At 39.0% G+C, this 15,198-nt stretch overlaps 1 protein-coding gene and 1 pseudogene across 1 annotated transcript in view; both read right to left on the reverse strand.

The window, feature by feature from the left end:
• Positions 1-268: 268 nt before the first annotated feature.
• Positions 269-15,198, reverse strand: part of ZNF519 (zinc finger protein 519) — a 61,315-nt gene continuing 46,385 nt past the window's right edge. The window contains exons 2-6 of the transcript NR_033354.2: positions 14,025-14,224; positions 13,345-13,495; positions 9,337-9,414; positions 7,348-7,446; positions 269-6,674 (exon numbers count right to left, since the gene is read on the reverse strand). The gene's annotated coding sequence lies outside the window, so the exon portion shown is untranslated. The remainder of the gene's footprint in view (positions 6,675-7,347; positions 7,447-9,336; positions 9,415-13,344; positions 13,496-14,024; positions 14,225-15,198) is intronic.
• VN1R73P (vomeronasal 1 receptor 73 pseudogene) lies at positions 4,388-4,888 on the reverse strand (annotated as a pseudogene).

Below are 15,198 nucleotides of genomic sequence, written 5' to 3' on the forward strand. Positions count from 1 at the left end.
CAAACACCGCATGTTCTCACTCATAGGTGGGAATTGAACAAAGAGAACACTTGGACACAGGAAGGGGAACATCAAACACTGGGGCCTGTTGTGGGGTGGGGGAAGTGGGGAGGGATAGCATTAGGAGATACCCCTAATGTAAATGACAAGGTAATGGGTGCAGCACACCAACATGGCACATGTATACATATGTAACAAACCTGCACATTGTGCACCTGTACCATAGAACTTAAAGTATAATAAAAAAATATATATATATATAAAATTATAGATTTAACCTCAGTGAGAGGATTCTTTATTTAATGAATAATCCAAAAATAATTGGTGATCCACAAAAAGAAAATAAAGTGAGAGACAAATTCCTGACTCTTTTAATGTCATACTGGTTAAATATTCGGGGGGAAAATTTTTATTAAAAATATGTGTACAAAATACTTTCTAAAACAGGCATAATTCATCACAATTAATTACAGAGGGTTGTTCAAACAAATGGATCTACTTCTATAGATATACATGCATATACAGACATAGATATAGATAAATATCAACTTTCCTTTTAGCATGAAAAGACAAGAAATTTAAACAATAGTGAACTAATAAAAATATACCTCCGTTAAACTGCTCAGACTCAAGAAAATTAGGGTGAATAATCATACATCACAGATGATGAAAGAAGTACTGTGTTCTCATACCTTGCATATTACGATTATAAAGTGTTCCACATTTAGGGGTTGGCAACCAAACAATATCTATTAACAACTAAAATATAGAAAAGCAAAATGCAGCAATGCTGGTCCTGAGAATCTCCCCAGAGTAATAAACGCAGGTATAATTACAAGAGCAAAATGCAGGACACCAATACTTCTATGATATGACCTGTATTTGGTGTTGGGCTTTACAGGAGCTCTTTCTCAGACACATATGCATTATCTGTATCTTTTCTGAGATTCTACTAACTTTATGGTGAAATCAACAATAAAAGGTTTTCATTTTGATAAATTGGTTTTCAAAAGAGAAAGATGTTACAAGACCCTTTCAACTTGTCTTGCAAGTGAAGGCTATATCTGAGGCTGCCAAGAAAAGTTATTGACAAAGGCATGGCAAAATGTTAATGTGGTTTTGTTGACCACTGTGTTTGCAGCACAGTGGAGAAACAGCGTGGTTTTCTGTCCTTGCTGAGTTTTATGCATTTTAAGGAATCATATTTGTTCATTCCACATTGCAGAATGTTTCTTGCATTTTCATTTCCTAATGCAGACTAAATATCTTATGTGGTTTGCAATAATTCTCTCCTTTTAAAGGTATTTCTGGAGTAACTGCCTGGTCTGTAACATGTTTGATGGATACCTAACCCTTAAATATTACAAAATTTTATGCACAATCACTACTTGATTTTGATGGACATAAAAACACGTTTTTAAGTTACAGTAGCAAGATATTATCGTTGCCTGTGTTAACTCATTACTGATACTCGGTTTATAATCATAGCCACCCTTTGTGAAAAGGTTAGCTTGTTACATTATGGTTATGCTGAGGGAAGAACAGGCTATCCTGGATGCTTGAGGGCCTCTCGTGGTGACTGAGTGTTGGCACTAGTGTCAGTTCATATCTAAATATTCCTACATATGTAATGTACTTTCATATTTTTTTTGACAACACTTGTCTAGGGAATATTTCAACTCTACTCTGTGCTTTTGGGATTCAATGGGAATCCCCTTTCAGATGGTCAACAGTGTGAGCCTTATTGATTGACCTTTTTGCCCTCTTCCCTGAAATATATTCTCTAGGTTTAATCTGTGGAATTAGATTTTAAGTCACATTTTCTTGCGTAAATGTATGAAAGCAGGAAAACCGGCTGTTGCTCATATTAACAGCATTTTTTTCACATAGTGTAAGAAAAACAGTGGTCTTATTCACCAGACCAATCTTGTATTCCCGCTGGTCTCACAGTTCAAGACTCCCTTCCCCAGGCTTTTTGTTCTGAGGTCTGGCCATACAAGCATCCTAGCTGAGTGGGTGGAAACGACATTTACCTGGTACAGGCCTGACCTGTGAAAACACCCTCTGTGAAGCCCCAAATATTTTTTGCCATACAACTGCATGAAATTTTCCCAAGCACCATAGCCAGATTTGAAGACACAGGTTAGCAATGAGAAATACACCAATAGAAGGTATGGGGGTCCCTAAATCCATATTTGGAGGAAAATCCACAAGCAGAGTCACATGACATTTGAAAGCCTGTGTTGAGGTGGTATATGCCAGCAATGATAAATATTACATGATGATCAAACTGCTGATAAATTCAGGTTTGTCTATTACAACAGCTAATTTTACGTTAACTGTAACAAAAATATATTGAAGAAAAGTTTGCATGGAAATTTTTATTTTTATATTTATTTATTTATTTATTTATTTATTTATTTATTTATTTATTTTGAGATGGAGTCTCACTCTGTCGCCCAGGCTGGAGTGCAGTGGCACAATCTCGGCTCACTGCAACCTCCGCCTCCTGGGTTCAAGCAATTCTCCTATCTCAGCCTCTCAAGTAGCTGGGACTACAGGCACTTGCCATCACGCCCAGCTAATGTTTGCATTTTTAGTAGAGGCAAGGTTTCACCATATTGGTCAGGCTGGTCTTGAACTTCTGACCTCAGGTGATCTGCCTGCCTTGGCCTCCCAAAGTGCTGGGATTATAGGTGTGAGCCACTGCACCTGGCCTGGACAATTTTTATTCAAATTCTGTGTACAACAAACATTTCCTGAGTATTTCAAAAGGCGAAGGAAAATATAAACCATACAGTTATTCATATAAGAAACCTGTATCATGATCTTCACTCTGTTTTTGAAATTCATGATGTATAATATACTTAAATATCTTCCCATGATTTTGCTTTCAGATATTTTACCAGTACAAAAATATGAATGTAGATTATTTTGTTTAGCAGTATTTATAAGAAAGTGTCATGAGTATTCCTATTTTATAATTTGCCTTTTGCAACTGTTAAATGAGAGGAAACAAAAGCACACTTCACTTTCCTTTCTCGAAGGCAAACCAGCTGTATTTCACTCCCTCGAATAGCTACTAATTTCTTGAAAATACTTCTGGAGAGCTCTCCCCAAATAGGGACAAGCCAGAAGATTTTTCACTTTCATCTGCTCTGCTCATTTGTGACTGTGATCAAACCTAGAAGATTTAGAAAGGAAGATTCCATCTCAAACAGCCCTGTAGTCATCTGTGTCCTGCAGGATGAAGCTCTGCAGCAGAGTCTGAGGATAGAAGTGTAGACTGCATCATTCAGATGTTTTTTTCAATTTTTGAAAGAAACTGGAAGAAGGTCCTATCACACAGGCATGACTGAGAAAGAATCCTTTTGTGATGCTCCCGTGGATTTGACGCATGTTCAGCCAAAGGAGCAGACAGATCAAGAAATTGAGAATTTCAGGATTCGGTAGGAGGTCTAGCAGGGGGCACTGGGAAACAACTAAGTATTGAGCTCTGAGTGTCCTGCACTGCACCCTGATGGCCAGCAGGGAGTGATGGAGCCCTCCTTTTCTGCTCCATGTGGCCCGAATGCATATCTGGCGCTCTCAGGAGGACTTCAGGAGGTATTGATTTAAAAAATGAATGCCTTTAACAGCACCCAAGTCACCTCTTGAATGCTTTGCTGCTTAGAAATTTCTTCTGCCAGATACCCTAAATCATCTCTCTCAAGTTCAAAGTTCCACAAATCTCTAGGGCAGGGGCAAAATACCATCAGTCTCTTTGCTAAAACATAACGAGAGTCACCTTTGCTCCAGTTTCCAACAAGTTCCTCATCTCCATCTGAGACCACCTTAGCCTGGACTTTATTGCTATCAGCATTTTGGGTAAAACCATTCAACAAGTCTCTAGGAAGTTCCAAACTTTCCCACATTTTCCTTTCTTCTTTTGAGCCATCTCAAGTATTCCAACCTTTCCCTGTTACCCAGTTCCAAAGTCGCTTCCAAATTTTTGGGTATCTTTTCAGCAGCACCCCACTCTACTGATACCACTTTGCTGTATTAGTCCATTTTTTTTCACATTGCTGATAAAGACATACCCAAGACTGGGAAGAAAAAAAGGTTTAACAAACTTTCAGTTCCACATGGTTGGGGAGGCCTCACAATCATGGCGGAAGGTAAGCAGGAGCAAGTCAGGTCTTACATGGATGGGAGCAGGCAAAGAGAGAGCTTGTACAGGGAAACTCCTGTTTTTAAAACCATCAGGTCTCATGAGACTCATTCACCATCCCGAGAACAATACAGAAAAGACCTGCCCCCATAATTCAATCACCTCCCACCAAGTTCCTCCCACAACACATAGGAATTCAAGATGAGGTTTGAGTGGGGACATAGCCAAACCATATCAGTTATTAACTACTGCAGAACAGTAACCAAATCCTTCTTTGTGTTGTTTTCGCCATTCCACTTGCCAGTCACGTGCGGTTACCAGCATATCACAATCCAGCAGAGGATGTTGGAGCACCCATTCTATTTGGGAGCTTGTAGTTTCAGGTCTGCCCAGCAGGAGTACATGGGGCTGACTGTGATGGCCTAGAAGATATTCAAAAGGCAAGTGGTGCCAATGCACACAGCCCTGCCCACTTTGTGAACATAGAAAACAAGTTTGTACCTAATTATGATTGAGAAAATGTTTCAACCCAAAAGCAGGCATTCTCTGTGGGGCTCCTTTATAAAGTATCACAAAGGAGGTGGCTACAGCCAGGTGTTTGAGAATCAGATCTGTAGACCTTAATGTGCATTTGGTGAAATAAAGAGAAATACAATGCTAAAGAAAAAATATTTTCATCAGGAACCCAATTATGGTCTGAGATAAGATTATTCCTATTGCCACATCCCTAGAGGACATTTGTTCTTTTCCAGTGACTGATACTTCTATTCATATTCAGAGTTAGAGGATCCTGAAGGGAAACATGAGGTCTATTTTATTTTGGCAACTGAAATTCAATATTGTCCACAGACCATTGTTTTCAACTCATAACGTTCTTATTAAATTCCATTTTCTATTGCTGAACTACACACCACACACCACACACCACACACACACATATTTACTGTGAGTACTATATTCATATTTTACATAGAACATTTACAATGATTCTACAAAGTAAGCAATTTATTATTATTTTTTTTTTTACAGGTGAGGGGAACTTAGGTGTAGAAAGGCTAAATAACAGCTAAATAACATCTAAAGCCCCCTCCTTCCTTGTAAGAGGCAGAGTCCGGAGCTGACAATGTGCTTAACCACTATGTGCCTCAACCTTGGACCTAGTCAGTCTTTTCTAAAACTCCACATATATTTCATTTTCTTTTTTTTGTAGATTTTGTCAGGTTTTTAAAAATGGTTGTATATTTATAAAATATGATTGTGGTAATCTCTTATTTAAATATCATTGCTTAATTTATAGGCAAATATCACTTATGATTCAGAGATCCAAATACAATGAAGATGCCTTAATTCCACAGATGCCAAATGAAATTTATGGAATGCAGAAATGATTTCATACTGGAATTAAGAGTCTTTTCATCATAACCAAGAAATAGGGCACAGTGGAATGACAGTGCTGTAATCCAGGGGACATAAAACATGAGTAGGCAATAAAATATTGCAGAGGAGAAACTACATCACCATTAATATATGGAGAAAATTAGTATTTGTGGATGCAAAAATATAAAATAAAATTATTTCAATGTCAGAATTGTTTAACATATTAAAACATGAGCCCACTATGTAAAAGGGAAACTGGAGGCAGGAAAAATTATTCACGGAATCAATTTAAATTGTACTAAGATAAGCACTGAACCTGGTAATGGCCTTAGAAGATTTTAAAAACAGAGCAAATATCACAAACAATTCAATTCAGAAAACTGCCGAAGATCTTGACCTTTTTTAAAAATACAAAAATCTACAGAAAAGTTACCCTTCTTTACTGACTTCATGAAGGAAAGCAGTCTCACCATAAGGAGTAGACAATGCATGTTTTCAGTCACCACACAGCTATGGTCTCCATTAAGTATATAATATGTCCAGAGTGGTTAAACTCCATAGTTACTACTTCTGAACAGAATAAGGTAATTCAATTGGTGAACTCTTACACACTATCGAAGGCATGAAGGTGTTGTAGAAACACCTCTACTAATCCTGAAAATGTCCCCGACTCTTCTAGAAAAAAAATAAAGCAGCTGGGAAATTAATTCCAAATTACACTAGAGAACTGGGAAAAAACAGATTTCATGGCCATCAAAAGCAATAATGACAAACAGTGAGGATTACATTAAATTAGAAGCAGTTAGGGACTGGTTTGTGACCTTGCCCTCCATTTCTTTTCCACAAGTTCAGCCCGTGGCTCACTGATTATTTCCTCCTTCCTGCATGGCTTTAGCACTGGCTCAGTTTCTAGCCCCAAAGAAGACCTTCTCCAGACAGGAATACTTACTGTACCTCCCAATATACTTCCTTCCCTTGCAGACTTTGCCTTCTGAACTACTCGTTTGATTTTTTTTGCTGCAGGGCTGGTGGGCTTGAAGTGATGGTCAGGACAGCCAGAGTGTGTGGGAGGAGGCAGGCGGTTCTGAGATATGGGTTCGAGATCTTGTGACATCATCTCCCCTCGAAACTGCAATAATCATTTCACCTGTAGCAACAATGACAGTACACACTTGGGGAGCTGAAGATAGTTTGAAAACCATTTTCCCAGTTACTGTTTACCAAAAACAATTACAACTTTCTAGTGAGTGCCTCCAGAGAGATGTGAGTGTTTTGGAGAGGTTCTTCTTTTCCAGGACCCCTGGAGGGACAGGACTCATGTAGATGGAGCAGGAAATGCTGAGATCTGGGACATGAGGGACTGACCACAAGGCAGTGTGTCTTACTGGATTCTATGCTTCCTTGATGTGTTCCCTGCTGAAAATCTAATTTTCTGTTATTCCCCAAATTCCTGAGCCAAACTATTATTTAATTATGAATAAAGAAATGGGATCATACAATAGACTGGTAAAGAATGTATCAATAGGTTACGGTGCAAATAGGCAGTCGTCCCCAACCTTTTTGGCACCTGGGACCCGTTCCATGGATGGGAAGACAATTTTTCCATGGACAGGATCAGGTGTTGTTGCGGAGATGGTTTCGGGATAAAACTGTTCCACCTCAGATGATCAGGCATTACAGTCTCATAAGGAGTGTGCAACCTAGATCCCTCACATGAGCAGTTCACAATAGGGTTTGCTGCTTCTGTGAGAATCTAATGCCACTGCTGATCTGAAAGGAGGCAGAGCCCAGGCAGCAATGCTCGCTCTCCAACCACTCACCTCCTGCTGTGCGGCCAGTTTCCTAACAGGCCATGGACAGGTACTGGTCTGCAGCCTGGGGGTTGAGGACTTCTGCACATAGGAGCCTGAAGTCATGTACTGATACAAAAAATTAATAGGGGAGAAGCTGTATAATTCAATGCAAATTAACATGTACATGTACATTATATATATTCTAAGAATACATATTTTATCAATTTACTGCTGTAGAGACTCCAAACTGCACAATATTTACAGAAAAAAATAGACATTTATCAAATAGTCCCTTTCACACAAAAATGTACCATGTTCATATGATCCAGAGATAAATTTTACTAATAAACAAATGCTAACTAAATTATTCAAGAGTTTTAAAGAATAATTTTTAGGAAGACTACATAAGGGTGATATGACAGCTTTGCCTGGGTTAAGTCAAATAGAGTATTTCAGATGTATTGAACATATGAATATAATTGTGAAAGTTTTAAATATTAGAAACCATTGTGTTAGAACATTAAACATTATATTATTATCAACTGGCCTTTATGCCAAGAATGCAAGTAGATTCAGCATTTGGAAATCCATCAATAGAATTAATCAAATTAATAAAAAAAATCCTTGATTATGAGAAACAAAGATGGTCTTTTTCAGAGGAAGTACTAAAATAAAAGCTAATAGATGTTCTATGTGACTGAAACTTTTTATGTGTAAAAAGTTTTCCTTCAAGGTAAAGATGAAGAAGCACTATCTGGCTAACTTCAAGATGTACAAAACCCAAAGCCAATTAAGAGGCAGAGCCAAACAGCAGAAGCACCAGTATCCTTGGCATAAGCTGGCAGATTTTGGTGGAAGTGACAGGCACCCTGGAATAAAAAAAGGGGTTGCCTCCGACACAGTTGCCAATTCTTGAATTTCACAATTTTCCTTTGGTGTTTGTATCTTTCTATGGCCCTCCTGTTTGTGATCAGACATGTGGCCCACAGAGGTGACTTGTCTACAGAATATGGCATTCATCATTGTCCACTCCTCAGCACAGGAGGGAGACCTGTAGTCCAATAAATATTCTTATCAGTTGAAAAGAACAGAAGAACTAAACAAATGAAGAGATATACCATGCTCATAGATAGGAAGACAATATTGTCTAGATGGCAGTTTTCATCAAATTTATCTACATATTCAGAGTAATTCCAATAAAAATTCCAGGAACTTATTTTGTGGATATTAAAACTGACTCTAAAGCTTATATGAAAAGGCAAAAGACCTAGAATTGCCAACACAATATTGTAGGAAAAGAATAAAATTGGAGGACAGAGATACTACTTAGTTTCAAGACTTACAATAAAGCTACCGTTATGAAGACAGTGTGGTATTGATGAAATAATAGACAAATCAATGGGAAGAACAGAGAACCTAGAAATAGGCCAACATAAATATAGTCCACAGATCTTTGACTTCAGAGGTTAAGGTAATAAAATGTAGCTAAGATAGCCTCTTCAACAGATGGTGCTAGAAGAACTGGACATATACATATTAAAATATGAATCACAGACCTTAACATCTTCACCAAAATGAACACAAAATAGATTACAAGTCTAAATGTAAAACACAAAACTCTAAAATTCCTAAAAGATAGCACACAGGAATTATAGATGACCCTGAGTTTAGCAATGGCTTTTTAGATACAGCATCAATGATTTAATTCCTAAAAGAAATAACTGATAACCATATAATTTACCAAAATTAAACATTTCTACTCTGTGAAAGACAATATCAAGAAATGGAAAAGAAAAGACATAGACTGGAGGAAAATATTTATAAAACATGTATCTCGTAGCTCTTAAAACTCAAAAATAAGAAAATAACTAAAAAAAATAATAAATGAGCCAAAGACTTTAGCCAACACCTCACCAAAGAAGACACACAGATGACAAAGAGGCAGACAAAATGATGCTCCACGTCATATTTCACCAGGGAAAAACAAATAAGAACAATATATCAGTACACACTTACCTATAATGGCCAAAATCTAGAACACTGACAACACCAAATGCTGGCAAAGACGTGAAGCGAAAGGATCTCTCATTCATGCTGGTGGGAATGTAAAACGGTACAGCCAGTTTGGATGACAATTTGACAGTTTTTTTTTTTTTTTTTTTTTTTTTGAGACAGAGTCTCGCTCCGTCACCAGGCTGGAGTGCAGTGGCGCGATCCCAGCTCACTGCAACCTCCACCTCCCGGGTTCAAGCAATTCTCTTGCCTCAGCCTCCTGAGTAGCTGGAACTACAGGCACACGCCACCATGCCCAGCTAATTTTTGTATTTTTAGTAGAGACGGGGTTTCACCATGTTGGCCAGGATGGTCTCGATCTCTTGACCTCATGATGCGCCCGCCTTGTTCTCCCAAAGTGCTGGGATTACAGGCATAAGCCACCGTGCCCGGCTGGCAATTTCTTATAAAATTAAACATGCTCTTACTATTTGATTCAGTAATTAGAGTCCTTAGTATTTACCCAAAGATGCTGAAAACTTAGGTCCACACAAATCTTCACATGGACCTTTACAGCAGCTTTATTCATAACTGCCAAAGCTTGGAAGCAGTCAAGATGCTGTTCAGTAGATAAATGGATAAACGATAGTACATCCAGAAATAAAATATTATTCAGTGTTAAAATGATATATGCTATCGAGCCTGAAAATACATGGATGAAACTTAAGTGTTTATTACTAAGTGAAAGAAGCCAGTCTGAAAGGCTAAATAGTATATGACCAACAATTTGATATTCTGGAAACAGTAAAACTATAGAGACAGTGAAACAATTAGTGGAGTTTGTGGGGAATAAGGAATAAATAGAGCATGGAGTCTTTTTAGGGCACTGAAACTATTTTGTTTAACTCTATAATAGTAGATACATGTCATTATATATTTGTCCAAACTAACAGAATGTACCATTTCAAAAGTCAACTGTAATGCAAACTATTGACTTTGGGTGATAATGTATCAATATAGACTCATCAATTGTAAGAAACATGTCACTCTTGTGGGGGTTGTTGTTAATGGGGGACACTATGCATGTATGGGGGTGTCAACCTAAATAAGAAACAGTGAGATGTTCTCTATAAATTAAAAAAAATGGGGAAATAAAGTATTGCAATGGGAACATATGGGCATTATAAACTGTGCATATTTAGGAAGGTAAAAGAAGACATAGCTTTTTAAAGAAAAAAATGAGGATTACCTAATTGTTTTGAAATAATTATCCTTGGCTCCAAAGATCAATAATAAAGGCAATGCTAGTCAAAAGCTGGACAGGCAGTTGCTGGGCAGATGTCCTTGCAGAAATATTTTTTGTGTAAGGTTGTGATGGCCTTTGTGCAAGGCTGTGATGTTCTGCAGTCTCTCATGAAACTTTTTGTTATCAGGCATATAGCATGAGAACCCTTTCTTTACAGCCTTCCCCAGCTTTATGTGTTATGGTTTTCTTAAATTAGGGACTCCATTTTAATTCTGACAACTTTCAGAGAGGGATGGTGTACACAAGAAGACTGTAACACTGCTAGATTTTGCTGTGAACCTTAAACTTCTCTAAGAAATAAAGTATATTAAAAATAAAGAGAAAATCGAATTAATCCTTATAAATATTTAAATTAAAAGGTCTCCAACGTGTTTTTCTGAAGCCTAACAAGATTTAATTCACATTAAGGGTAAATGTTCTTAAAATTTTATGCCAGATACAGTTTCTTTGAGATGTAAATCTTGCAAGAAATAACAAGACTGTTTATATTATATTAGGTTATTTAAAAACTATGAAAATAAAAATAAAATATATAAAACACTGTAACTTTAGTCCACATCAAAGATATACATAAAAAAATAAATAAAATTTAGTCCATTTAAATTTAGCTATTTAGCCATGTTTTCACTGCTTAAGAAATTTTTATTAAAGCCACTAATATAAGTTAAATGTTTTATTCCATTAACACAGCAATGGTTCATAATTAGAACACCACTTTAGTTTATTAGTTAAATCAAAAGATTAAAAATCAGAAATAATCATAGCATTATATCTCAGAATAAAATATTTAATAATAAGCATGCTGAACAGCATAATATAAATTCTTATTAAGCATGAAATGTTTGCAAACAGAACTAAGAAAGCAAGTATTTCAATATTTGCTAACATGAAAACAGATTCAAGATATATAGTTTTAAAAAAGAATACTACATAACAATAGATTCACCGAACTATTTTTTCAACTCACATAATTATGTGTAAATGGATTTTTACGAGAGTTTCCCTGACTCTTGCCACAGAACTGACAACAGTGGTTCCTGGTTGAGGCAGTGGCAGACATGATAAGAAAGACTGCTTTGCTCCTTTCTCTCAAGTCTCAAACTGTGTCATTATTAGGAGTTTTACCACAAAACAAATATATATATGGTAATGTTTAAAATAAAATAATATTTAATAAAAATTGATAGTACCAGAATTTGGCTTTGACCTCTTTTTTTTTTTTTTCTCTCCATCACTCAGGCTGGAGTGCAGAGGCACGATAATTAGCTCACTGAAGCTTCAACCACCTCAACCTCCAGCCTCAACCTCCTGGGCTCAAGCCATCCTCCTCTATCAGCTACTCAAGTAGCTGGGACTATAGGCACATACCACCAAGCCTGGCTAATTTTTAAAAATTCTGTAGAGACAGGGTCACACTATGTTGCCCAGGACTATGAACTCCTGGCCTCAAGTGGTCCTCCTGTCTCAGCCTGCCAAGGTGCTGGGAGCCACTGTGCCTGCCCTGGTTTTGATCTCTTGATGGTTAAGACAGTTCGCTGCCCCAGTGTCTCAGCTGAATTGCATACATACAAAATTTTGTGTTTTTAAAAAAAGACCCGGTCAGGTGCAGTGGCTCACGCCTATAATCCCAGAACTTTGAGAGGCTGAGGCAGGTGGATCACATGAGGCCAGGAGTTTAAGACCAGCCTGGCCAACAAGGCAAAACGCCATCTCTACTAAAAATACAAAAATCAGCCGGGCGTGGTGATGTGCACCAGTATTCCCAGGTACCAGGGAGGCTGAGGCACGAGAATTGCTTGAACCTGGGAGGCAGAGGTTGCAGTGAGCCAAGATTGTGCCACTGCATTCCAGCCTGGGCAACAGAGCAAGACTCTGTCTCAAAAACAAAACAAAAAAACAAACGAACAAACAAACAACAAAAAGACCTAACCCAATGGCTACATGAGTCACTCCATGAACAAGGTTTCCACGGGATGGATATTCTGTCAATGATTTAAACAACTTCCTAGTGTTAAATGCTTAGGTTGATTCAACTTTTTGAAAAGCAATTATGAAATGAAACCACCCTTTATCATCTGCATGAAATCCAACCTTTATTTCTCGATGATATCAATTTTTGAATAATTTATTCCATTCTAGTCCAAATCAACACTACAGGGCCAGGTGCAGAGGCTCACACTTGTAACCCCAGCACTTTGGGAGCATGAGGCGGTGGATTACTTGAGGCCAGGAGTTCAAAGCCAAATCAATAGTACTTTTGGGCCAGAATCACACTGATTCAGTTGGTTGAGCTTCAAATTCACAATGAAGTCAAGTAGAACAAGTTTCCCCTTATTAATCTTTGTCCAGGATTTTCCACCTACACATAAATACACTACTTATTTGTGCAGTTTCTTTAATCCTCATCCACTGGGAGCAGACAATGCATCCGATGTGTCCCCTAAACAATCCCTGCTGTCCTATCCCTCTAACCCCACAGGACCCGCTCCCTGTCCCCAACCCAGGTCTTGGGTATAGTCCTGCCCAGGATGACCCCCCAAATGGCCTCTTCACAGGCCCATTTCACTGGGTCACAGTGACATGGAGATGGGAGGGGACTGAGGCAAGGCCCTCAGTGAGTACCAGCAAATGTGTGCGGCAGGACATTGCAGAGTCAGAGATTAGCAAGTCCTGAACACAGCACTGCAGGGAGAAGACAGAACAATCAACCACAGTGTGACTTTCACCTGGGAAAGTGCTAGTTCTGACTCTTCTTTCTTCTCTCTCCTCCTTCAGGCTTGTTTCTTAGGTAAAATCGGTCTGGATAAGTCACTCTTGAGTGTGGAAAATATTTTTTTTAGGGCTTCAAATCAACACACTACTTCCTGGGGCACAAACCTGCCAAGAGGGGGAATTCAACATGTGGAAGAGGTGGTCCTACGCTGTCCACTGGAAAAGGAGGGACTCAGGGAAAAGAAACTCCTACATGAGGAAAGTGAGCTAGTTCTATTCCTGTCCTCAGAACACCCTCCAGCTGAATGAAGCCACATACTAAGTGCCAGCCATGGGGATGTGGCGGGACTGACCCCCCACTTCAAGTTACAGAGCCCACAGTCCCTGCACAGGATCACCAGGGGAGGGTGGGCAGAGCTTTTCCCTTCTCCTGGTCCTGAGCTTCCCAGTCTCCCTCCCATTTCCGAGCCTTAGCCCCCAAACTGCAGTTAGCCTCCTTCACCAGGCTCCCCTCTCAAGGCCTGGTGCTCCTCCTCATTGCACAGTCAGTGAGTAAGTGAAATACACTTACTTTATAAACATGTAAATAGGACTATGAAAGTATATAAATCAAGGAGGGCATACAGGGAGGTGGAATATAGAGAAAGTATTCTGGAAAACTTTGTATAAAATAAATGAACGTTGAAAGACTCACCTAAAGTAACCAGATGACTGCTTCTCCAGCATCACGTCTCTGTGCAGCTTTCCCTGAAGGACACATTCTTCCTGAGTGAGGTCCACAGTATCATCCTTGAGGGATACTTATTTCGGGAAATACCGCAGACATTCTCATTCAGGCTGCACCATCCCTGACAATGTCCATAGCAAATGGTCAAAGACAATCTCGCTTTTCCACTGGGGGATAAAAAAAAGAAACAGCTAAGTTTATGAAAAGCTCAAGGTCTTTTTGAGGTCTAGTAAAATTCCCTGGGCTGACTTGGCATACACCTTTCAAATACATCCACAGAGATGCACACACTCTGAATACATGATAAACTTTATTATAAAGGAATGTCACAGGTGTGGTTAAATATCCTTATTCTGCAATGAAATGCTAATTGTTCCCTTGCCCGAGACAGATTTATGTTCCAAAGTGTAAATATATTTGAGCCCAAATATTTAATATTGAAAGCCCTTAAAATATGGAGACAGAAGAATCACTTCTAGGAAAATCAGAAGGGTGATTTTTTTGGAAAAAAAATTTTTGGAAAAAATCTTTAAGAGAGGAAGGGGTGAGGCAAATGGAAAAATAAGGCCCTCCAGTGATCATCTCCCCCACAAAAACATGAAATTAAACAACTATCCAAGCACAAAAGCACCTTTACAAGTGCTAAGGAATCCAATAGAGCACCTGTTTTTAGCACAATAAGAAAAGAGGCATTGAAGAAGGTAGGAAGGACAGAGTCTCACTGCTCACCTCAGCGCTTCCCCAACTCCAGGCAGTGCAGCACAGAAACACAACCCACAGGAGGGAAGGTGAGTGATGTGACTGAAGGACTTTGACTTGGATCCCAGTGTTGGGCCCAGCACAGTAAAACACAGGGCCAGGGAGAACCCCACAGCCACTGACCCCAGGCCAAAACCCATGGACAAAGTCTCTGGAATCACCCCAGCACTTGGTGGAAAACTGCAGCCCCAATAGGACAGTCTCATGTTCTGACCTGCACCACCTCTGGCCTTCGATAGTGGCATCAGGCCACGAGCAAACCTCAGCAGTAGTCAGGGCGTATCAGCATGGGCCTGGGACACACTCCAGGGTTGTGCTGGCCCCAGTTTCCATTGGCTTTGGCCCGATCCAGCTAAGCATGAGTCTTGGTGGCCAAGGGACT

This window comes from Homo sapiens, chromosome 18, assembly GCF_000001405.40.
Source record: "Homo sapiens chromosome 18, GRCh38.p14 Primary Assembly".
NCBI lineage: Eukaryota > Metazoa > Chordata > Mammalia > Primates > Hominidae > Homo > Homo sapiens.